Source organism: Homo sapiens, chromosome 17, assembly GCF_000001405.40.
Source record: "Homo sapiens chromosome 17, GRCh38.p14 Primary Assembly".
Lineage (NCBI taxonomy): Eukaryota > Metazoa > Chordata > Mammalia > Primates > Hominidae > Homo > Homo sapiens.
The window spans coordinates 45,026,300-45,049,947 of NC_000017.11; the positions used below are offsets into that span (position 1 = coordinate 45,026,300).

General features: G+C 50.8%; 1 protein-coding gene across 9 annotated transcripts in view, besides 10 other annotated features; it reads right to left on the minus strand.

Annotated features, from left to right (window-relative positions):
* Positions 1 to 23,648, minus strand: part of DCAKD (dephospho-CoA kinase domain containing) — a 37,794-nt gene that overhangs the window by 2,962 nt on the left and 11,184 nt on the right. For 4 of the 9 annotated variants that reach the window (NM_001321326.2, NM_024819.7, NM_001128631.3 and 1 more), the window contains exons 2-4: positions 8,475 to 8,700; positions 7,888 to 8,091; positions 3,793 to 3,880 (exon numbers count right to left, since the gene is read on the minus strand). In NM_001321326.2, coding sequence (NP_001308255.1) covers positions 3,793 to 3,880; positions 7,888 to 8,091; positions 8,475 to 8,586 — 404 coding nt within the window. In that variant the 5' untranslated portion in view covers positions 8,587 to 8,700. 9 annotated transcript variants of the gene reach the window in all.
* Positions 4,208 to 4,257: an enhancer, noted in NCBI's record as "active region_12269". NCBI's record gives its function as "activates an Ori minimal core promoter by ATAC-STARR-seq in GM12878 lymphoblastoid cells {active_cell/tissue: GM12878}" and the evidence as "EXISTENCE:reporter gene assay evidence [ECO:0000049][PMID:35858748]".
* Positions 9,245 to 9,745: an enhancer, noted in NCBI's record as "H3K4me1 hESC enhancer chr17:43112912-43113412 (GRCh37/hg19 assembly coordinates)". NCBI's record gives its function as "activates a minimal SCP1, AML or CMV promoter by ChIP-STARR-seq in primed H9 embryonic stem cells {active_cell/tissue: H9 hESC(primed)}" and the evidence as "EXISTENCE:reporter gene assay evidence [ECO:0000049][PMID:30033119]".
* Positions 9,746 to 10,246: an enhancer, noted in NCBI's record as "H3K4me1 hESC enhancer chr17:43113413-43113913 (GRCh37/hg19 assembly coordinates)". NCBI's record gives its function as "activates a minimal SCP1, AML or CMV promoter by ChIP-STARR-seq in primed H9 embryonic stem cells {active_cell/tissue: H9 hESC(primed)}" and the evidence as "EXISTENCE:reporter gene assay evidence [ECO:0000049][PMID:30033119]".
* Positions 13,756 to 14,390: an enhancer, noted in NCBI's record as "OCT4-NANOG-H3K27ac-H3K4me1 hESC enhancer chr17:43117423-43118057 (GRCh37/hg19 assembly coordinates)". NCBI's record gives its function as "activates a minimal SCP1, AML or CMV promoter by ChIP-STARR-seq in naive H9 embryonic stem cells {active_cell/tissue: H9 hESC(naive)}" and the evidence as "EXISTENCE:reporter gene assay evidence [ECO:0000049][PMID:30033119]".
* Positions 14,391 to 15,025: an enhancer, noted in NCBI's record as "OCT4-NANOG-H3K4me1 hESC enhancer chr17:43118058-43118692 (GRCh37/hg19 assembly coordinates)". NCBI's record gives its function as "activates a minimal SCP1, AML or CMV promoter by ChIP-STARR-seq in naive H9 embryonic stem cells {active_cell/tissue: H9 hESC(naive)}" and the evidence as "EXISTENCE:reporter gene assay evidence [ECO:0000049][PMID:30033119]".
* Positions 15,026 to 15,660: an enhancer, noted in NCBI's record as "H3K4me1 hESC enhancer chr17:43118693-43119327 (GRCh37/hg19 assembly coordinates)". NCBI's record gives its function as "activates a minimal SCP1, AML or CMV promoter by ChIP-STARR-seq in naive H9 embryonic stem cells {active_cell/tissue: H9 hESC(naive)}" and the evidence as "EXISTENCE:reporter gene assay evidence [ECO:0000049][PMID:30033119]".
* Positions 16,815 to 17,700: an enhancer, noted in NCBI's record as "H3K27ac-H3K4me1 hESC enhancer chr17:43120482-43121367 (GRCh37/hg19 assembly coordinates)". NCBI's record gives its function as "activates a minimal SCP1, AML or CMV promoter by ChIP-STARR-seq in primed H9 embryonic stem cells {active_cell/tissue: H9 hESC(primed)}" and the evidence as "EXISTENCE:reporter gene assay evidence [ECO:0000049][PMID:30033119]".
* Positions 17,701 to 18,585: an enhancer, noted in NCBI's record as "H3K27ac-H3K4me1 hESC enhancer chr17:43121368-43122252 (GRCh37/hg19 assembly coordinates)". NCBI's record gives its function as "activates a minimal SCP1, AML or CMV promoter by ChIP-STARR-seq in primed H9 embryonic stem cells {active_cell/tissue: H9 hESC(primed)}" and the evidence as "EXISTENCE:reporter gene assay evidence [ECO:0000049][PMID:30033119]".
* Positions 20,825 to 21,357: an enhancer, noted in NCBI's record as "H3K27ac-H3K4me1 hESC enhancer chr17:43124492-43125024 (GRCh37/hg19 assembly coordinates)". NCBI's record gives its function as "activates a minimal SCP1, AML or CMV promoter by ChIP-STARR-seq in primed H9 embryonic stem cells {active_cell/tissue: H9 hESC(primed)}" and the evidence as "EXISTENCE:reporter gene assay evidence [ECO:0000049][PMID:30033119]".
* Positions 21,358 to 21,888: an enhancer, noted in NCBI's record as "H3K27ac-H3K4me1 hESC enhancer chr17:43125025-43125555 (GRCh37/hg19 assembly coordinates)". NCBI's record gives its function as "activates a minimal SCP1, AML or CMV promoter by ChIP-STARR-seq in primed H9 embryonic stem cells {active_cell/tissue: H9 hESC(primed)}" and the evidence as "EXISTENCE:reporter gene assay evidence [ECO:0000049][PMID:30033119]".

A 23,648-nucleotide genomic window follows, 5' to 3' on the forward strand; every position in this document is an offset into this window, starting at 1 on the left:
TCACTGCAACCTCCGCCTCCCAGGTTCACGCCATTCTCCTGCCTCAGCCTCCCGAGTAACTGGGACTATAGGCGCCCGCCACCACACCTGGCTAATTTTTTGATTTTTAGTAGAGATGGGGTTTCACCATGTTAGCCAGGATGGTCTCGATCTCCTGACCTTGTGATCTGCCTGCCTCGGCCTCCCAAAGTGCTGGATTACAGGTGTGAGCCACCGCGCCTGGCTTTTTTATTTTTAAATAAATATAGAGACGAGGTCTTGCTGTGTTGCCTACACTGGTCTCAAACTCCTGGGCTTAAGTGATCCTCCCACCTTGGCAGTTTGGTCCCTTCTTAGGGATTCTGGGAAGCAGACCAAGTGAGGCCAAAAACAAATGCAGCCACTTGCCATGAAAATGAATTATACGAGCTATAGATTTCCTCTGTTACGGGGTCAGTGTACTGTGGCCATTGTGGGGCCAATACCCACCTCGCTGAGAACAAGGACTAAATCCAGCCTTCATCAGGGAGACCACATATCTGTGGGTGGGAGAATCTAGTGTGAGATTAGAGATGGCCTGGGGCTCCCAGTAGGTGCACATCCTCCTGAAGGTGTGGCCCAGACCACAGAGCCTCCTGGATGTGGGGCAGCACCTCCGACAGCCCTTCCTGGGGCTCAGAAATGGTCCTATTCTAGTTAGTCTAAGACTTGGTACAATTTGTTGTAATAGGATTTTTACCCACTTATTCCACAATTGACAAATTTTTCAAAAACATGAAATTGGCTGGGCACAGTGGCTCATGCCTATAATCCCAGCACTTTAGTAGGCCGAGGAGGAGGATCATTGAGCCCAGGAGCTTGAGACCAGCCTGGGCCACACAGCAAGACCCAATCTCTACAAAAAATAAAAAAATTAGTCAGATGTGATGCTGCATGCCTGCAATCCCAGCTACTCAAGAGGCTGAGGTGGAAGACTGCTTGAGCCCAGGAGTTTGAGGCTATAGTTAGCTGTGATTGTGCCACTGCACTCTAGCCTGAGCCCTGTCTCAAAAAAAAGAAACCAGCATGAAATCATGTTTTGGTATAATCACACTTCAGGAGATGTCCTAAGTAATTTCAAATGCACCAGGGGTAGTCTTTCAGTTAAAGAAATCCACAAGGGAGTCCTTATTTTTGTAAAGCCTAGATCCCTTTGGTGAAAAGCATCACCACCTCTCTGGCATCTCTCAAGAGTTATACACCCACACCCACTGAAAGCAGGGCATGAGTGGCACCCAGGACTCTGGCAAAGGCTCCTCTGGCCGGTGAGTGGGGCTGAAGGTCTCCTGGAGAGCACACACAATCAACAAAGCCCCACTCACCCACCAAAACCCATGGCCACCTCTGCTCTCGGCAAACAGACCAACCTCAAAGAACAGCACAGGAAGGGCCGGGCGCAGTGGCTCATGCCTGTAATCCCAGCACTTTGGGAGGCCGAGACAGGTAGATCACAAGGTCAGGAGTTCAAGACCAGCCTGACCAACATGGTGAAACCCTGTCTCTACTAAAAATACAAAACTTAGCCGGGCATGGTGGCGTGCGCCTGTAATCCCAGCTAATCAGGAGGCTGAGGCAGGAGAATCACTTGAACCTGGGAGGCAGAGGTTGCAGTGAGCTGAGATCGCGCCACTGTACTCCACCTTGGGTGACAGAGTGAGACTCCATCTCAATTTAAAAAAAAAAAAAAAAAGCAAAGCACAGGAAGGACAAATGGCCAGAGGTGGGCGCGGGGTCATCTGGTGAATGCACATGCAGGTGTCGGCCCCTGCTGTCTTCTCATCTACACTCTAAGATCCTTTTTTTTTTTTTGAGATGGAGTCTCGCTCTGTCGCCCAGGCTGGAGTGCAGTGGTGCGATCTCAGCTCACTCCAAGCTCCGCCTCCCAGGTTCACACCATTCTCCTGTCTCAGCCTCCCGAGTAGCTGGGACTACAGGCGCCCACCATGATGCCCAGCTAATTTTTTTTGTATTTTTAGTAGAGACAGGGTTTAACCGTGTTAGCCAGGATGGTCGCGATCTTCTGACCTCATGATCCGCCCACCTCGGCCTCCCAAAGTGCTGGGATTACAGGTATGAGCCACCACACCCGGCCTTTTTTTTTTTTTTTTTGAGACGGAGTTTCATTCTTGTTGCCCAGGCTGGAGTGCAATGGTACGATCTTGGCTCATTGCAACCTCTGCCTCCTGGGTTCAAGTGATTCTCCTGCCTCAGCCTCCCAAGTAGCTGGGATTACAGGCATGCACCACCATGCCTGGCTAATTTTTGTATTTTTAGTAGAGATGGGGTTTCTCCATGTTGGTCATGCCGCTCTCGAACTCCTGACCTCAGGTGATCCACCTGCCTCGGCCTCCCAAAGTGCTGGGATTATAGGCATGAGCCACTGCACCCAGCCTTTTTTTTGAGATGGAGTTTTGCTCACTCTTGTCGCCCAGGCTGGAGTGCAATGGTGCAATCTCTGCTCACTGCAACTTCCACCTCCTGGGTTCAAGCGATTCTCTGGCCTCAGCCTCCCAAGCGGCTGAGATTACAGGTGCCCGCCACAACACCGGGCTAGTTTTTATATTTTTAGTAGAGATGGGGTTTCACCATGTTGGCCAGGCTGGTCTCGAACTCCTGACCTCAGGTAATCCACCCACCTCGGCCTCCCAAAGTGCTGGGATTACAGGCGTGAGCCACTGCACCCGGCCTCTAAGATCCTTTAAAAAAAATGTTTTTATCCCTAAATACAAAGCTCCAATCGTGCTACTAAGGCAAAGAGAATTCCAGGTCTTCGTGGGGTTTGCCTGACCTTAGTTAGCCTCTCAAACAGGGAATGAAGAACCCAAAGAGGCTGCAGGTTTACTCACATAAGGCAGCACGGCCCAGTGCAGGAGCTGAGAGGATGCCTGCGTCCCTGCATTGGGCTCAAGGGATTCAGACTGGGCTTTCAACGACAGCCCATGGGGACCCAGGGGGAAAGGCAGGGGGATTTTCAGGGCACTGAGCACCACAGGCTCCGCCTCCAGCGTGCTGGGAGCCTCCAATGCCTTAGGCCCTTGAGGGCCAACCTATGCCCAAAATACCAGCAGAGCCAAGTGCCCACCTATGTGTCTGCTGTACTTGTGGGTGGCATCCGGGAAGCTTCTGGGTAGCAGAGATACCCTGCGGACTCATCTACTTTCACCCCACTGGGACAGGGACTCATTTTCCCCCCACAGGTTGATCCTCCTGTTTGTCAAACCTGGATTCTGGTTGGCTCCGTGTCCTGGGGAATTCTGAGAACAAAGTGCCTTCCTTAGCTGGGCTGACAGTCCCTTCCACGAAACCTTCTGTTCGTAACAGGTGTTGCCAAAGGGTGACCCTGGACACATTCTGTAACTGCCCCCTCTTTAATTTTATCTTCAGTAATAGGAATATCAACACCTGTCCTGACCACCTCCCACTGAGAGGTAAACTGTGCAAAGTAATAAAGGTGCTACAGGAGGAAGAAGGAGCCACTGAGTAACAGTGGCCCAGGGCGAGGCCAGGCATCTGGGCTGAAGTGCCTGCAATGGTCAGCGGGGGAGCGCTCCCCAAACACTAGAGAAGCCCGCGGGCTGTCCCTTCCCACACCTGCCCCCAGGACTATCCGCGTCAGGCACAAAGGTTGGTTTCTACAGACCCTGAGCACTGCTGCCCAAACCCCCATGCCTCTTGGCCGCCCCGTGGGGAAAGGGCAAAGTGCAAAATGATGTGGGCTGTTTCCCAGATACCCCCATGGTCCTCCCTTCCAGCCAGGGCATGCTACACACTCACCAGTATACTACCACGGTGTGCTTCATGTACTTGAGCAACTTCTTGGTCTCAAACAGCAGGGGGATATCCAGAATCACGTAGCGGTATCCTGGGGAGAGGTTGGAAATCCCCCAAGTTCAATTCTGCAAGCGCACACTGAGGACTGATGATATGCTGGGCCCCACCGTCCAGAGCGCCCAGCAGAGGGGCAGGCCTTCCAAGGACACACATACCCTGCACACTGGCCGGTTCCAATGCCGTGCAGAACAGAAGGCTGCAGAAAATTATTTCTGGATAGCTGATCAGGGAAGACCTTGTAGAAGGGCTGGCACTTGTGCTGGCCTTGAAAAGTGGGGGGCAGGTCTTTTGATACTTGAAAATGAGAAGGTGAAGGTGAGGATTCCACGAATGAGAACCACCACAGCACAGGGAGAGGGAGGCTCTACTGTGCGGGCTGAAGCAGAGGCCTCAGGCCGTGTGAGGCAAGGAGGTGATCAGGGCAGGCACTAAGGGTTTAGTTCACCTTGATCTTAAATCTCAAGTTGTTATTTCTCAGAAACAAACAAACAAACAAACAAAACACCCAAAAGATAGGTTCTCCCCAAAGAGCCAGGTGCAGGCCCAGCCCTGCTGACAAGAGCCAAGGTGGGCTGTCTCTACCAACTCTCCATGAGAGGCTCACGTTGGGGCGGCAGCAGCAGAAAGAAGCTGCTTCTCCCATCAGAGGCAGACCTACAGCCAGGGTAAGGCCTGGATCTGGAGTCAGAGCGGGCAGTTATGCCTAAAACTGTATTACACTCCTGCAGTGTAAAAGGCACTGGCTGGACCTCCCACCACAAGCCAAGGCCAGTCAAGGGCAGCACCCCCACCCACTGTGAGTGAGCACATCCGTAGGCTGCTGTGGGCTACACGCTCCTCGTTCTTTTTAGGTCAGTGACCCCTGTGCATGTGTACAAAGCTGGGAGGGCTCCAGGAGAGCAAGAAGGGTAAGAGATAGGAAAATGCTTCTCTGCCCAGAGACCCCTGGCCTGGCTGGGGCAGGAGACTGCACCCCTGGAGCATCCCACTCCAAACACTTCCAAGCACAGAACCAGACACACATCACACCAATTCCAAGGGTGTCACGGGAAACTTGCACTCAAAGTGATGCAGGGACAATGGCGGTGGGGGGGTGGCAATCTCAGCTGCTTGGTTTCCTGTTCCCCAAGACCTGCTGCTCAGGAAGCCCAAGAGAAGCCCACAGTTGAACAAGGGGGTTAAAACCATAGGCTCTGATGACACACCTTGGTTGGTAGCCCCCCCACCTTCCCCACCATGTGACCTTGGGCCCCCTTTTGTGTAAACCTCATCTGTGTAAATGAGTAAAAAGAATACCTACTTCACAGGATGATGGTAAAGATGAAATGAGCCTTGAAAATATGTGAACCATGCAGTACTACTCCTTCACCAGTCCCTCGCTAGGTGCCCCAAAATGATAGTTACTGTTGCAGGGGGAGGCCAACAGTGTGGTGCGCCTCCCTAACTTGGAGCAGAAGCCAAGACTAGATCCTCTCCGGGCCTCTTATCTCCCTTTCCTGTTCAGCTCCCATCACTTCCTCTCCCCTTGCTGTCCTTTCTCCGGCCCCTCTGGGGAGTACGTGGTCAGCTATTTGGTTCACCAGCAAAGGGCTATTCAGCTGTCACATCCCTCCTGTCTGATAAGCTCTGCAAACCATCCTGACTCTATTAAGACATCCGTCTGCCTACACAGAGAAGTCCCCAACAGCTGGTGATCTTATCTGACGTTTGATTATACCAACTTTGACAGTTGTATTTGTTATACTCATCAGGGAAAAACTGGGACTGTGGAAGCCACAGCTGTCGTCCTCATTTTTCACCTTATCGAGCTCAAAAGGGCTCTCTGGCTTTTATTTAAGTGGTGGTGGTTGGGGAGGCGGGAGGCTGGGTGGATGACACAGTGAAAGAGCTTTGGAGCTGGTGACATTATCCGATGTTTAATTTCAGAAGGGGAGAGCCACTGCCGCCTCGAAGCCCTGCAGATATACCAGTAACTGGCATGGGAGAGAATGCAGAAAGGGCAGGAATGAAAGGCAGATGACTTCACTCTGGGTGGGGGACGGGAAGGACACTGGCACAACATAGGAGGCAGCACAAAGAGTCCAGAGGGAGGACTCTTCTTGAGGGAGGCAGGGAGGAGGCCTGCGGCATGGTGCTGAGATGGAGCGCACACGCTGGTTCAGCAGAGAAGATGCGGGAGCCAGCTCCAGCCCGGACGGGAGGGGGTTGGGGTCAGCATCATGGATGTCTGTCGAGTCATCCCTCTTTTGGAGGGAGGTATTGGCCACAGGGGGATGAGGGTGGGGGGAGGTTGCTCACTCAAGGCATGACAGAATAAGGGGCTTGGCCATGGTCACAGTGTAAAAGGCTCCCCCAGCCAGGCACAGTGGCTCACGCTTGTATTCCCAGCACTTTGGGAGGGCGAGGCAGGCATATCATGAGGTCAGGAGTTTGAGACCAGCCTGGCCAATATAGTGAAACCCGATCTCTACTAAAAATACAAAAGTTAGCCAGGTTTGGTGGCATGTTCCTGTAGTCCCAGCTACTCGGGAGGCTGAGGGCAGAAGAATCGCTTGAACCCGGGAAGGGAGGTTGCAGTGAGCCGAGATCGCTCCACTGCACTCCAGCCTGGTGACAGAGCGAGACTCCATCTCAAAAAAAAAAAAAGGCTCCCCTATACCCTCGTGGAAGGAGAGTCTCAGTGTAGTGACTGAGAGTGGGGTGACAGGCAACCAGGCCTTCAACTCGGAGGCCCAGGCTGGAGGCCACATGTGCCAAAGGCTGGCATGCAAATCTCCAGCAGCCCTAGGCCAGCCTCTTGCCAGATCCCAAGCCACCGCCCTCTGTTCTCCCTCCCACTTCTGGTGACTGACCCCAACCTGTAAAGTAAGCATCAGGCCACCCCTGTGCAATGCTGTCCTGAAGAACATGGCTTAGGCCAGGTGTGGTGGCTCATGCCTGTAATCCCAGCACTTTGGGAGGACAAGGTGGGAGGATTGCTTGAGGCCAGGAGTTTGAGACCACTTTGGCCAGCATAGTGAGACCCCATCTCTAAAAATAAAATAAAATAAAATAAAATAAAAAAGAACAGGGCTTGAACCATGGCATATAGCTTGGAAGAAGGTTCTTGCCAACTGGCCCCAGGCCTCTGATTTCAAATACTCCCCTTCCCCTACCCACCCTGGCCATCTTGGTCCCTTCCCAATTTCCAGTCTACAAACTTGCTTTCCCAAATGGCTCAGCCAGAACCAAACCTGCCCCTGACTGCAGTTTACATGTGTGATTAACTGACAGTCACTGACCTGGACCCTCAGTCTTCCTAACATGCTCACGTTGGATTTTTTCTTTTTTTTGAGACGGAGTCTTGCTCTGTTGCCCAGACAGTCTGAGTATAGGGTGCAATCTCGGTTCACTGCAACCTCCACCTCCCAGGTTAAAGCGATTCTCCCGTCTCAGCCTCCCGAGTAGCTGGGATTACAGGTGCACACCACCATGCCCAGCTAATTTTTGTATTTTTAGTAGGGACGGGGTTTCACCATGTTGGCCAGGCTGGTCTCAAACTCCTGACCTCAAGTGATCTGCCTGCCTCGGCCTCCCAAAGTGCTGGGATTACAGGCATGAGCCACTGTGCCCAGCCTCATGTTGGATTATTATCCCCACTGCACAAATGAAAAAATGAGCTGAGGGCGAGATCACTCAATGAAGTCACACAGCTAGAAAGTCAGGGTTGGGATTTGAACTCAGATCTATGGCTCCATTATTCACCAGCTCTTATTACTCCCATCCCTACTAGAAAAACCAACTTACTTCCTGGGCTCATGGCTCGAAAGCCTCATGTGTCTCTTCTCATTAAACTGTCAGCCTCCTTAAGAGCTGAGGGAACGTGCTTCTTTCCTCTGGGGCTGGTACGGGGCTCTGTGTGGAGGGGATGCCAGTAAGCAGTATGAACTCATCAGCTGGGATAACCAGCTCCCCTACCCTGGCCAAACTTTCTGCAGAGGAGAAGGGCCCTGGCCCTGGAAGGAGGCCCCGCCCCCCGCCCCAGGCCCTGGCACTTACCCCGGAGGAAGTACTTGAACGTCTCCTTCATCATCTCCTTGCGAATCTCGGGGTGGGTGATGGCGTTGAGCAGCTGCCGCCGGTCAGGCTGGTTAAAGATCAGGTCCCCCAGGACCTTGCGATTTATGTCGCCGTTCTCCAGCAAGACCTCAGTGCCGAAGACCTCTACGATGCGCCGGTGGGCAGGGTATCCTGGCTGCACGACTGTGGCAGGAGGAAGAAGCTGGGTCACTCCCTGAAGCCTCAGGGCCAGTCAGAGGACCTCAGTGACCAGGGGCAAAATGATGGGGGAACTCGGGTGCTTCTTTCAGGTGGAGCAAAAGCAAAATGAGGGTAGAGAAAGCAGTGAAGGAAAAGAGCAGAGTGTACAGGATCCCTTGTGCTGGTAATGGGGTACAGCTGGGGGGTTTCTAAAAACAGAAAATAGAAGAGCAGAGAAGGCAAGCACGGGGCAGAGACAGAAGTCAGACCAGGGTCAACAGGAGCCTTCCCCTCCTCTGAGACTTATAAAAAAAGGAGGCATGGCAGAAGGCCGGAAGCGTGGGGAGCTGCTGTGCACGGCCCCCCAACCTGCCCCTCCAACTCACCGTGCCGGGCCATCACGTCCACGTCAATCACCGCACAGCCCAGCTGCTGGAACACCTGGATCACTGAGCTCTTGCCTGAGGCAATGCCCCCTGTCAGGCCCACCAGAAACATCTTCCAGGAAAGAGAGCTGTCCGCGAGACTACGGAGCCAGGAGCTACAGAATCACTGGAGAGCAGGGCAAGTGTGGCCGATGGGGGCGGTCCACCAGAGGAGTGCCAGAAGGACCTGCTTGGGAGAGGCCAGCGGGACTGATCAGTTTGGGCCAAAATAATTGGGAGAGAGGAGGCAAAGGAAGTAAAGGGAGACAGCTTGGCTGGGGAGGGACATGTCCTGAGCTTGGGGTGCTCTGGGGCCATCTGGAGAGGAGAAACCCTCCAGGAAAGGCCTCCAGTATTTTAAAAACACTCGCAAAGAAGGCAAATGTGGCCAGGAGTGGTGGCTCACACCTGTAATCCCAGCACTTTGGGAGGCCAAGGTGGGTGGATCACCTGAGGTCAGGAGTTTGAGACCAGCCTGGCCAACATGGTGGAACCCCATCTCTACTAAAAATACAAAAATTAGCTGGGCGTGGTGGCGTGCACCTAGAATTCCAGTTACTCAGAAGGCTGTGGCAGGAGGATCGCTTGAACCTGGGAGGTGGAGGTTGCGGTAAGCTGAGATCCCACCACTGCACTGCAGCCGTGGGTGACAGAACCAGATTCCTTCTAAAAAAAAAAAAAAAAAAAAAAGCAAACGAACACTATAAATTCAGCAATCAAAAGCTGAACAGGCAGGGCAAGGTCAGGTGCTGTTAGGCAGCATGCTTCCTGGACGAGGCAGGATCCCCTTGGAGGCCAACTTCCTAGAGGAAGGAGACACCTGTCTCTCTGTGGTAGACCCACAGCACTCTTCAGATGCCCACTGGTCCCCCTGGCCTTTACTTTCTAGTCTAGGAGACTGAGGCTCAAAGGAAAGAAATGGCCTGCCTGCAGCCATCCACGGAAGATGCAAAAGAGACCACAAATAGAGTCCAGGTGCCTGGGCCCTCTTTTGCCCCAAGGCCTCCTCCCCACAGAAGGTCCCATGGATCACTTCCCCTTGAACGCCAGCACTAGGACTGCCTGGGTAGCTGATATAGATGGAGACGCACAATCCTCTTGGCCCAGATGGGGAACTGAGCCGCAAGCAGTGGCTCGGCAGCCACTAAGGCCGAGGTTTAGAAAAGTACCACTCTTGCCAAGAAGGAATGTGAGGGAAAGGCCAGGAGGCTGGGCGATGCTGGTGGTGTGACTTTGAGCTGGCGTCGTGGTTTGTGGCGTCCTCAGACCAAGCAGCGGCAGCACGGCACAAAGGTTGGGGCATGGCTTCTTCACACCCAGCTCCTCCACTCACATGTGCTGCAACCCCGGGCAAGCCGCTTGCCTCCCTGAACCTCAGTTTTCTCATCCATAAAATGAGGTTTAGGATCATAAGACTGCCTTGGCTGGGCGTAGTGGCTCACGCCTGTAATCCCAGCACTTTGGGAGGCCGAGGCAGGCAGATCATGAGGTGAGGAGATCGAGACCATCCTGGCTAACATGGTAAAACCCCGTCTCTACTAAAAATACAAAAAATTAGCCAGGCCTGGTGGCGGGCGCCTGCAGTCCCAGCTACTCGGGAGGCTGAGGCAGGAGAATCGCTTGAACCCAGGAGGCGGAGGTTGCAGTGAGCGGAGATTGCGCCCCTGCACCCCAGCCTGGGTGACAGAGCGAGACTCCGTCTCAGAGAAAAAAAAAAAGAAAAAGAAAATGCATCTGCAGTCCATGGTATGTTGCTTGATAAATGGTAAATATCCCAAAAATGGAAGTGAGGATAGTGATACAGGGTGAAAAGTAGGAGTTACAGTTCCACTGCAAGGCATAGAAAGGAAAAAAAAAAAGACTTTCATGAAATCATGTCCCTATTCCTCCAACCTCAGACTATCACACCATAAACTTTTAAGGAGTCATGGTGCATTTTCTGGAGTAAATGAGGTTACCATGTCTTGGACTTTGTTCCCAGGCTGGAAGCAATTAAATCAAAGGCCAGGTCTCTCCCACCCTTCCTTCAGCCTCAAATCACTTCTCCAGGACTGTAAAATCTGCCATAGGACTTTTTTTGTTGCCGTTAAGCAGCAGATTTACTGTCCTAATTACACTTTGCTTGAGCTTACACTGAAATGAGTTTGCCTCCCGTGAGGACACACCAAATGACAGGGGAGGCAGCTGCTTGGATGTGGCTGAGTTGGTGCCTGGCTTGGGGCAGCAGGGGACCAACCTAGAAATTGAAATCTGCCACTGCTCATTCTCACCCCGGAAAGCCAGAGGTGGAGAGAGGAAACTATCCACCACGGAGTCATCATCCAAATGGAGAGACCTAGCTACATTAATCAACTATTTAACAATCATTTCTAGGCCACGCACGGTGTTCACGCCTGTAATCCCAGTGCTTTGGGAGGTTGAGGCAGGAGGATTGCTTGAGACCAGGAGTTCGAGGCCAGCCTGGGCAATACAGCAAGGCTCTCTCTCTATTAAAAAAAATAATAATTTCTCCTCCATCTCTCTGAGGCTGGTGATCTCCCTCTAGGTCACAAAAAGGACAGGGTTCAGTTGTAAAAACAAACAAACAAAACAAACAAACAAAATGTCAGCCACTCAGCTGAAGCTTTGAAATAGAAAATCTAGAAAGAATTTTTTTTTTTTTAGATGGAATTTCACTCTTGTCGTTGCCCAGGCTGGAGTGCAATGGCGCATCTCAGCTCACTGCAACCTCCGCCTCTCAGGTTCAAGCGATTCTCCTGCCTCAGACTCCCAAGTAGTTGGGATTACATGCAGCCGTCACCATGCCCAGCTAATTTTTGTATTTTTAGTAGACATGGGGTTTTGCCAGGTTGGCCATGGCTGGTCTCGAACTCCTGACCTCAGGTGATCCACCCACCTCAGCCTCCCAAAGTACTGGGATTACAGGCGTAAACCACCACGCCAAGCTTCAAGAGCTTTTTTTTTTTTTTTTTGAGACAGAGTCTCACTCTGTTGCCCAGGCTGGAGTGCAGTGGTGTGATCTCGGCTCACTGCAAGCTCTGCCTCCCGGGTTCACGCCATTCTCCTGCCTCAAACTCCCGAATAGCTGGGATTACAGGTGCCCACCACCATGCCTGGCTAATTTTTTTGTATTTTTAGTAGAGATGGGGTTTCACCATGTTGGTCAGGCTGGTCTCAAACTCCTGACTTCAGGTGATCCACCCACCTCGGCCTCCCAAAGTGCTGGGATTACAGGCGTGAGCCACCATGCCTGGCCTTTTTTTCTTTTCTTTTCTTTTCTTGAGACAAGAGTCTCTCTCTGTCCCCCAGGGTGGCGTGCAGCGGTGCAATCTGGGCCCACTGCAATCTCTGCCTCCTGGGTTCAAGAGATTGTCCTGCCTCAGCCTCCCGAGTAGCTAGGATTACAGGTATGCACCACCATGCCTGGCTGATTTTTTTGTATTTTTAGTAGAGACGAGGTTTCACCATGTTGGCCAGGCTGGCTCAAACTCCTGACCTCAGGTGATCTGCCCACCCAGGCAGTTCTGATGTGTAACAGCGCTCAGGATAAATTCTAACTCTTCTTTTACAGCAGTGGAGACTGAGGACCAGAGAAGGGAGGGGACTTCCCACCAGCAGCTATTATCAAAGGCTGGATGCAGTTCAGGGCTCCTAACCCCTAGTCTAGACCCCTGCCTTTAATGTACTCAAGGAATGAAAAATTAATTTACCTTTAGACTAATGAGACAAAGTAAGGAAGATGAATCTGTTTGTAGGCAAATCGATTCAGAGCCAAAGAGAAATAATTTCTTGATTATCATACTGTTTTCTTCCTGCAGAATGGGGGCTGAGGGGGTGTGTGGACAATGGCCAGAGCACAGATGGAAATTCCAGCCTCCCGGGTTACCTAATGAGTATCCTCCCTTCTCAGTGCCTTGACCGAGTGTCTGTGGAAACAGACCAACAGCTGCTTGGCCTCCATCAGGAAGGCCAAGCGGACAAAGGAGCACACGCCCAGGGAGGCTCCGGGTCCCCAACTTAAAAGGGCCTTGACAAATAACAGCTGTTCCTGTCCAACAAGCCCCTCTGTAGCTCATTCCTTCACTGACCATCCACTGAGCATCTCTGTGCTCTGCAGGAACGGTGCCAGGGACCTCTTGGGTAACCAGAGGAAAACACAAGTCTTGCCCCTTGGGAAAACTGGAGAGCTAGATAGTACCAGATGAAAACATCTGAGAACAGAGCGCTGACAGGTAAGCAGGAATGGTCAGGTGGTGCTGGCCCTGGGCCTGCTGTATGAGTGCCTTCCCACTCACTTGGCTGCGCACAGATCTACTGGGATCTGCCAGGGAGGAAGTTGCAGCCCACGGTGCTCCCAAAGCTCAGCAAGGAGGAAATAGAGGCTTAGGTACCCAGCGGCCTCCAAGTCACACCTAGACCTGCCAGCAGCTCCCTGTCAGGCCCACATGAACAAACGACCACCTTTGATCACCTGTGTTCATGACCCTCTTTCTGCTCTGGTCAAGTCATCATTCTCCAGAATCCGATCTGGCTTCCCACATTCCACTGCCGCTTACACAGAGGCAGTACATTCCTCACAGCAAGTGCTAAACCTGGCTATAATCTGAATTTACTGCGAAACTTACAAAAGGTACAGACACCCAGGCTCCATCTACCCCAGCCCACTGAATCTGAATCAGCTAGGCCCAGAACCATGGCTAAAATGAAAGGCTGTGGACTGGAAGTGGAAAGTCCTGGGTCCTGGTCTCTGAATTCTGTGATAAAACTACCCATGTGACTGCAGGAAGTCTTCTCTCCAGCCTGGCCCAGGGTGGTAAGGACTCCATACAAGAAACAGCTGAGCCCCGGGTGCCTTCCCTCCTCTGAGCCTCAGTCCCCACACTTGTGAGTGAGAGGGGCTGGAGTTTCAGTGCCAAGAACGGTGCAGCTCCCCAGGGAGGCTGAGAGTCACACTGGTGATTTCTTCCTCCCCTTCAGTGGTTCAGAGCTCTCCTGGGAGTGGTGAATAAATGCTCCCCTGGGGCCAGGCGCAGTGGCTGTAAGGCCAAGGTGGGCGGATCACTTGAGGCCAGGAGTTCGAGACCAGCCTGGCCAACATGGCGAAACCCCATCTCTACTAAAAATACAAAAATTAGCTGGGCGTGGTGGTGCATGCCTGTAATCCCACCTATTCGGAAGGCTGAGGCAGGAGAATTGCTTGAATCTGGGAAGCGGAGGTTGCAGTGAGCAGAGATCATGCCACTCTGGACTCCAGCTTGGGCAACAAAGTGAGACTCCATCTCAAAAAAAAAAAGGCCGGGTGTGGTGGCTCATGCCTGTAATCCCAGCACTTTGGGAGGCCAAGGCGGGAGGATCACCTGAGGTCAGGAGTTCGAGACCAGCCTGACCAACATGGAGAAACGCCATTTCTACTAAAAATACAAAATTAGCCAGGCATGGTGGCGCATGCCTGTAATCCCAGCTACTCGGGAGACTGAGGCAGGAGAATTGCTTGAACCCGGGAGGCGGAGGTTGCGGTGAGCCTAGATTGTGCCATTGCACTCCAGCCTGGGCAACAAGAGCAAGACTCCATCTCAAAAAAAAAAAAAAAAAAAAGCTCCCCTGGCAAACCAAGGGATGACATTACTGTTGGTGGCCTGGGAATCTTCCTCCTCAACACCAAAAGCTGTTCACAGAACTGGCTTGGCTGGAGGCGGAAGGACAACACCAAGTCCACAGTAACAGAGAAGGAGCCAATGCACTGTGCAGGAGAAATGGAAGCTGGATTCTGGGACCAATCCCAGGTATGGGATTCATCAGCCAAGGAGGAGCCAGAAAGAAAAGCAAGCCTCTGATCCCAGGGAAGCCACACCCCATCCTTTCTTTCCCTCATTCTCCATGTCAGTGAAAGGCAGCAGGGTGCAAAGAAAAGGGCAAGGAGTTTGGGTTAGAGCTGGTGCCTGCGCTCCAACTCTGCAGTGAAGCTCTAAGGCCTGTGAAATGACGATCAGATTCTATTGTGCTCCACAAGTGGTGGGCTCTTTTGCATCGGGTGTCTCCAAATTGCCTCTCAGTTTTTACTTCTTGGGCCCAGTAGCCCCAAGAAGAATAAATACATTCAGAGAATGGTCTGTCTTAGAATCTCCTCTGGCAGTGTTTCTCTTAGGGAAAAATTAATGGGCTAAATAAAGCCCTACTGCTCTGGGAGGTCTGGCCAAGTTCTAATCCCACTAGGCCCACTCTGTTAGCCTAAGCCACCAGCACCTGTGCCCTGACCACTCCAGTAGCCTCATGACCTGACCCCCTCGTCCCGGCCTGGCTTCTCCCCAAGGTAGCCAGGGTCATGGCTTAAAGGAGTCATCTGATCATGTCACTCCCATCTAAAACCTTCACTGCCTTCTCCCGCCTCCTCCTGGCCCTTCACAGAGGTCTCCAGGCCCTGTGTGACTCCCTCAGTCACTCCCTGTCCACGATGCCTGGTGCCTGTCACACTGATCTTCCTTCTGTCCCTGAACATGCGGGCTCTTTTTTTTTTTTTGAGACGGAGTCTGGCTCTGTCGCCCAGGCTGGAGTGCAGTGGTGCGATCTCGGCTCACTGCAACTCCGCCTCCCGGGTTCACGCCATTCTGCTGCCTCAGCCTCCCAAGCAGCTGAGGCTACAGGCGCCTGCCATCATGCCCGGCTAATTTTTTGTATTTTTAGTAGAGACGGGGTTTCACCATGTTAGCCAGGATGGTCTCAATCTCCTGACCTCGTGATCTGCCTGCCTCAGCCTCCCAAAGTGCTGGGATTACAGGCGTGAGCCACTGTGCCCAGCCACATGCGGGCTCTTTTCGACCCCAAAGCCTCTGTGCTGGTGTTCTCTCTGCCAGACTCACCTCAGGGCTAACTACTCTTCAGTCACCCTGTACTGACTGTGTCAACCAATCAGACACCAGGCACGAGAAGGGGTGGTGGGGGGAGCAGGGGAGGGGTAAAACAATAAACTCACAGTACCAGTAAGTGTGGTGGTGGTAAGTGGGTAAGGGTATCAAGAGCAATGGGGGGCCATGCATGGTGGCTCACGCCTGCAATCGCAGCACTTTGGGAGGCCAAGGTGGGAGGATCACTTGAGCCCAGGAGTTAGAGGCCAGCCTGGGCAACAAAGCGAGATCCTGTCTCTTAAAAAAAAAAAAATAGCTGGGCATGATGGCATATGTCTGTAGTCTCAGCTACTTGAGAGGCTGAGATGGGAGGACTGCTTGAGCCCAGGAGTTGGAGGCTGCAGTGAGCCATGACTGTACCACTGCACTCCAGCCTGGGTGCAGAATAAGACCTGACTTAAAAAAAAAAGAGTGACAGGCACATCATTGTCTGACCCAGGACCTGAAGCAGCATGGGAGCAAGTCACATCCCCTTGGAGGAGCCTCATCCAATCCCCCAACCCAAATGATGCCCCTGCCATCTCTCACCACTCCCTTTACTTTCCCTCCTTTGGACTCGTCATGCTTTGGACTTTCATTTCTGTTCATGTGACTTTTTTTTTCTTCTTTGAGACAGGGTCTCACTCTGTCACCTTCTTCCCTTGGGACAGCTCAGGACTTATGTTGGAGGCAAATTCTGTTCCTTCTCATCCCCCATTCAACAGACCCGCCCCTGCGTGTGCCAGGCCAGGACCTGGCTCCCTCGGCTTGCAGCCCCTGTCCTCCTCCCCTTGCCGCCTCTCAGGATTTCACACTGGGGCCGCCTGACTAGCCAGACAGAACTGCTTTCCTAAGGGGGTGTATCTGTTTTGCACCAATGATCAATATAATCATTCATGAAAACGAGTCATTTCCTGCCTTGGGACCCAATTATTTCTCGAGGAACCAGTGGTTGCAAAAATATATTGTTTTCCAGTTAACTATTAAGTGCTATTTTTGTATACGGCTTCCCCACTCCTAATCTTTCATTATTGGTGAGAGGTTGCTGTTTAAACCTTCAAGTCCAAGTTCTCTTCGTGGGCTAGGCCCATTAAGCCGCCACCTCCTCCAGGCTGCCAGTTACCTGGAGAGAGCCACAAGGAAAGGAGCTGGCGTCTGCCTCCCTCTGTGTCCTCCCTGCTCCCTTTGCCAACACCAAGGGCAGGGAGGGGACAGGTCTCTCTTCTCTACTTGAGCACTCTCCAAGCACAAACCATCACTCCAGCTTTCATGAATGAGCAGGGAGGCTGTTTGGACTGGACTACTTTGTTGCCATTTATGCAAAAAAAGGATCACAGGGACTGCACATTCTCAGAGGGTTCAGAGTCAAAGGGACCTTGGTTGGGATTAGCTCTGTCCCTTAACTAGCTGTATGGCTGTAGGCAATTTAATTCAGCATCCTGAGCTTCTCTTTCCTTGAGTATAAAATAGGATTTGCGCTTGAACCTGGGAGGCAGAGGTTGCAGTGAGCTGAGATCGCGCCACTGCACTCCAGCCTGGGTGACAGAGTGAGACTCTGTCTCCAAAAAAAAAAAAAAGATCTGTAATGACTACTCATGGGGTCGTGTCAGGATTAAATGAGGTGACAACATAGGTCACAGTCACCTCATCTTCCCCAACTCAGTGTGTGACATGTCACAGCCACTGCAGTCTACTCCATTTGTAGTGTGATGGGTTACTTAAGGGTGTATGTATGTCCGCCACTTGAACCCTGCAGGCTGGGCGGTAAGCCAAGGCCATGGTGCCCAGCTGAGGAGCACGTGTCCCTGAGAACCCAAACATCCTAGGGCATAGCTGGGCACATACCAAGGAAAATAGTCTCATCACACACACCGGAGGCAAAGAGCCAGAAAATTAGCTTAAAGGCAGCCTGGAGACGGGAGGCGGCACGGACGCCCAGAGCTGTCCTGCTGCCACTGAGGAGTGCCCTCCATTTAAGTCCTAATACGCTCACCTACTCACGAAGCTGGACTTGTCCGAATCATTCTTTGGTCTCTCGGCTCCCTCCGGATTTGGGGGAATGTTTTTCTATACAATTCTGGGTTTTTCTCATAACTCCATTTCCCTAAACAGTACCTCCCTCCTCCCTCCTTCCACTTGTATAGGCCAAAAGCCTCGGAATCCTCCTGGCCTCTCTCACACCCTCCATCCAACCCGCAGTGCCCGGCCAGCGCTACCTCCCACCTGCACAGCCCACAAGGAGCCCCCGGTGCATGAGCGCCACCATGTCGCTGCGGAAGCCCTGCAGCAGCCTCTGAGCCATTTCCTGCTGCACCTTTGCTCCAAAGTTAGGAACAAACTTTGTTTGCTCCTAACAAAGCAGCTAGTGTGATCCTTTGAAATGCAAGTCAGATCATGTCAGGCCTCTGCTCACAGCCGTCTAACAGTTACCATCTCAGTGAGTACAAGCCAAGTCCATGGAGAGTCCTACAGAAGCCTCATGAAAGAGGCCATCTATGTCCTCCCAGCATCTCCAACCACTCCCCCCTACATCACTGCCCTCAGGCCTGTGCCCCAATGTCCCCACAGTCCCAGACAAGGCTCTTCCCCAGAGGGCTGCCCCATTCACTCCCTTCTCTGCCCAATCGTCCCCCCATCAGAGACTGTCAGGTCCTGTCCCGCTGAACCCAACCCCCGTCTGGAACTGGCTGGAATCACCTTAAAAGCTGTGGCAAGCGGATGGGTGCGGTGGCTGACGCCTGTAATCCCAACACTTTCGGAGGCTGAGGCAGGCGGGTCACCTGAGGTCAGGAGTTCGGGACCAGCCTGGCCAACATAGCAAAATCCTGTCTCTACTAAAAATACAAAAATTAGCCAGGTGTGGTGGCACGTGCCTGTAGTCCCAGCTACTCAGGAGGCTGAGGCAGGACAATCACTTGAACCTAGAAGGCAGAGGTTGCAGTGAGCCGAGATTGTGCCATTGCACTCTAGCCTGGGAGACAGAGAGAGACTCCATCAATAAATAAATAAATAAATAAATAAATAAATAAATAAATAAATAAATAAAAGCTGTGGCAGAAGAGTTCCCACAAGGGAATGCCCTAAACTGTCTCAAGACAAGGCTGGTTGGGATTCTAAAGAAAGAACCACTAATCGCCAGGGTGATCAGTCCAAAGCATTTATAAGCATTCATTAGGGGAACTTCCTTACAGAGTGGGCTGCACCACTGCTCTCAATGGACAGCGAGAGAAATGAGGTGTTCTACCTAGGTATGTCGACAGCAAGAGGGTCAGGGCATGGAGTTTATATGAAGGTTTAAGGAATTTGGCTCAGGGCCAGGGCCAGTTTCTTTCAGTATTTTGGGCAACAACCTAGATACCTTTATCTAGGTATCTAGATATCTATAGGCACCTTTATCTAGGTATCTAGATATCTATAGGCACCTTTATCTAGGTATCTAGGTGCCTGGGAATGTTCAAGGACCCAGTTTGGATTCAACCCTGCAGCTAGCTGGATCACAGCCTGGTCAGGACACGGACAGAAAGCAGGGGAACTGGGGACCTTACAGAGAAACTGTCCCCAAATATATAAAACAGCACCCCTGCTTTATCCTGTAGCCTCCTTTTCTTCACAGCGCTGACCAACGTGTCACCACCCAACACATTACTTGGCTTTGTGTTGATATCTTGCAATCTGCCTCTCTCTAAATCTGGGTACTGCTGTATCCAAGGTGCCAAAAACAGGGCCTGACAAATAGGCCCTTAAAAGATACTTGTTAGCCAGGCACAGTGGCTCACATCTGTAATCCCAGCACTTTGGGAGGCTGAGGCAGATGGATCACTTGAGGTCAGGAGTTCAAGACCATCCTGGCCAATATGGTGAAACCCTGTCTCTATTAAAAATACAAAAGTTAGCCGGGCGTGGTGGCGTGTGCCTGTAGTCCCAGCTACTTGGGAAGCTGAAGAAGGAGAATCACTTGAACCCGGGAGGGGGAGGTTGCAGTGAGCAGAGATCGCACCACTGCGCTCCAGCCTGAGCAACAGAGCAAGACTCTGTCTCAAAAAAAAAAAAAAAAAAGATACTTGTTGAATTAATACATAAACCATGCAGCAAAATATTTAGCTCATGGGCAAGCTGGAACTCAACATTAACTTTTTTTGTTTTTGTTTTTGAGACGGAGCCTTGCTCTGTTGCCCAGGCTGGAATGCAATGGTGCGGTTTTGGCTTACTGCAACCTCTACCTCCTGGGTTAAAGCGATTCTCCTGCCTCAGCCTCCCGAGTAGCTGGATTACAGCCACTGCCACCACGCCCAGCTAATTTTTTTTGTATTTTTAGTAGAGACGGGATTTCACCACGTTGGCCAGGCTGGTTTCGAACTCCTGACCTCAAGTGATCCGCTTGCCTCGGCCTCCCACAAGTGCTAGGATTACAGGCGTGAGCCACTGTGCCTGGCAACATCAACTATTTTAAAATGAGAATCACAAAACCTTTCCACATTACTTCCCACCTCCACATTCCTGGACTGACAATATATTGGGCTAAAAGATGAGGAAAATGTGGGAGAGAGTGCCTAGGAAGGTGAGCTTCCCAGCAGGCGGAACTAGAGTGTAAGAGCAGCACTTTCTCAAAGTGAGGAAATGGAAGTTAAAAGAAGTTCTGGCTGGGCACGGCGGCTCACGCCTGCCTGTAATCCCAGCACTTTGGGAGGCCAAGGAGGGCTGATCACGAGGTCAGGAATTTGAGACCAGCCTGGCCAATATGGTGAAACCCCATCTCTACTAAAAATACAAAAATTAGCCAGGCGTGGTGGTGCGTGCCTGTAGTCCCAGCTACTCGGGAGGCTGAGGAAGAAGAATCGCTTAAACCTGGGAGGTGGAGGTTGCAGTGAGCCGAGATCGTGCCATTGCATTCCAGCCTGGGCGACAGAGCGAGATTCCATCTCAAAAAAAAAAAAAAAAAAAAAAAGCAGCTCTATGTTTGCCCACGGTAGTGCCAGGTGGCCTACACACAGGAGAATGAGAACACTTAGGTGATGCGTGAAGATTTTCTGAGAGGCACAAAGGTAGAGTTTCAGCGTCATAAATTTCCAACTCAATTCCCACTGGCTCTCCTACCCAGCTCCTCCTTCACACTCACCCATCTCCCATGTTTCAGAGAAAGGCATAACCATCCACCCATGCTAAATCATACTGAGGTGAGGTGCACGGTCCCACAGGGTGAAAATCCCCTGGGCACCAGAAAGGGCAATTCAAAAGGTCAGTATTCATGCTAAGAAAGTGACTGCCTACAGTGACTAAGGAACAAATCCTTGCATGAGTCAGGTGGTTTCTAAACCTTGGCCTTCAAGAAAGTTAAAGGAGGACCTAAAAGAACTGTGGACTGACAGATTATTAATAATTCAATGTGATTTTTCGGCCCATAATTCAGAAGGTGTTCAAAGAACTGAGTGATATTGCTGAAAAAAAAAAAAAGCCTTCAACTCCTGTGTATTTAATTTACATGAAGAAACTTTTTCAATGGTTACAGCCAAAGAAAAAAAAAAGCACTCTGCTCACTCTAGTAAATATACAAATAAACATGGATAGATACATGAGGTTTAAAAAGCTCCACCCAGCTTATTTTTTTCGAGGCAGAGTCTTACTCCATTGTCTAGGCTGGAATGCAGTGGTGTGATCACAGCTCAGTGAAGTTTCAACCCTCCTAGGCTCAGGTGATCCTGCCACTTCAGCCTCCCAAGTAGCTGGGACTACAGGCATGCACCAACACGCCCGGCTAATTTTTAAAAATTTTTTGTAGAGATGAGGTTTTGCTGGGTTGCCCTGGCTAGTCTCTTTTTTTTTTTTTTTTTTTGAGATGGAGTCTCACCCTGTTGCCCAGGCTGGAATGCAGTGGCGCGATCTTGGCTCACTGCAACCTCCGGCTCCCGGTTCAAATGATTCTCCTGCCTCAGCCTCCCCAGTAGCTGGGATTACAGGCACACGCCACCACACCCAGCTAATTTTTGTATCTTTAGTACAGACGGGGTTTCGGCATGTTGGTCAGGCTGGTCTTGAACTTGTGACCTTGTGATCCGCCCACCTTGGCCTCCCAAAGTGCTGGGTTTACAGGCGTGAGCCACCGCGTCTGGCCCCTGGCTAGTCTCAAACACCTGAGCTCAAGTAATCTGCCTGCTTTGGCCTCCCAAAATGTTGAGACTACAAGCATAAGCCACCACACCCGGCCCACTTAGCTTATTAAGAGAAATACTCAAATAAAACTTTGTTAACATTGTTTTTATCAATTGTGTATTTTATAATTGTGACAACTCAATCCAAAAGAAACATTTAATACTCATGATAACACAATTTTAAAAAAGTTTTAATTTTGTATGTATTTTTGTTGCAGAGAAATATGATAAACCAAAGGCTTTCAGGCATAAAATGTATTATTACATGGTCAGGCACAGTATCTCATGCATATAATCCCAGCACTTTGGGAAGTCAAGGCAGGAGGATCACTTGAGGCCAGGAGTTCAAGACCAGCCTGGGCAACATAGTGAGACTCTGTCTCTACAAAAAAATGGAAAAAAAAAAAAATTAGCTGGAATCCCAGCACTCTGGGAGGCAGATCACTTGAGGCCAGGAGTTTGAGACCAGCCTGCCTGGCCAATATGGCAAAAGCCCATCTCTACTAATAATACAAAAATTAGGCCAGGCATGTTGGCTCATGCCTGTAATCCCAGCACTTTGGGAGGCCGAGGGCGGATCACGAGGTCAGGAGTTTGAGACCTGCCTGGCCAATATGGTGAAACCCCGTCTCTACTAAAAATACAAAAATAGCCAGGCATGGTGGTACATGCCCATAGTCCCAGCTACTCAGGAGGCTGAGGCAGAAGAATCGCTTGAAACCGGGAGGCAGACGTTGCAGTAAGCCGAGATCGTGCCACTGCACTCCAGCCTGGGTGACAGAGCGAGACTCCATCTCAAAGAAAAACAAAACAAAAATTAGCCAGGCGTGGTGGCATGCACCTGTAATCCCAGCTACTCAGGAGGCTGAGGCTTGAGAAGCATTTGAACCTAGGAGGTAGAGGCTGCAGTGAGCCAAGACTGCGCCACTGCACTCCAGCCTGGGTGACAGAGTGAGACAGACTCTGTCTCAAAAAGAAAGAAAGAACCATAAAAATAGCCAACCAGCAGCACAAGGGCTGTTCTGCCTATGGTGTAGCCATTCTTTATTCCATTATTTTCCTAATAATCTTGCTTTCATTTGGAAAAAAAAAATTGGCTGAGCATGGTGGCGAAAGCCTGCAGTCCCAGCTACTGGGGAAGCTAAGGTGGGAGTATTGCTTGAGCCCAAGAGGTCAAGGCTGCAGTGAGCTGTGATCCCGCCACTGCACTACAGCCTGGGTGACAGAGACCCTGTCTCAAAAAAACAAAAACTATTACATTAGAAAAAACTTCTGTGAGGAAACAAAGTGGAAATATGAGTTCAAGAAGGAAAAAGGGCCAAGCATGGTGGCTTACACCTCTAATCCCAGCACTTTTGGAGGCTGAGATGCAAGGATCACTTGAGACCAGGAGTCAGCCGGGGCAACATAGCAAGACCTCGTCTCTACTAAAAATAAAAAGAAAAATCAGCCATATGTGGTGACAGACACCCGTACTCTTAGTTACTTTGGTGGCTAAGGTGGGAGGATTGAGCTCAGCAGGTCAAGGGTGCAGTAACCAGTGACTGCCACTGCACTCCAGCTTGAGCAACAGAGCAAGATCCCATCTCGGAAAAAATAAAGGAAAAAAAGAACGATTTGAAATTTCGATGGTTAAATAAAAAGTGGTTCTTTTTTTTTTTTTCAAAAGATGAGGGAAATCAAATCAAATGGTGTATATTTAGACTTCACTGCAGGTTTAAATGAGGATTTTAACAGCTTTATTTTAAAATATCAACATTCACAATTAACCAGAACTTTTATCCTCTGTAATCTTCAAAATAAAAATGTGAAAGTTTCAATCTAAAGCTATCAATCTAAAACTGTGCCAGCAGGTAATTTTCTTTTTCTTTTCCTTTTTTTTTTTTTTTTTTTTTTTGAAACAGAGTCTTGCTCTTGTCACCCAGGCTGGAGTGCAGTGGCACGATCTCAGCTCACTGCAACCTCTGCTTCCTGAGTTCAAGTGATTCTCCTACCTCGACCTCCTGAGTAGCTGGGATTGCAGGCACCCGCCACCACACCCAGCTAATTTTTTTGTATTTTTAGTAGAGATGGAGTTTCACCATGTTGGCCAGGCTGGTCTCAAACTC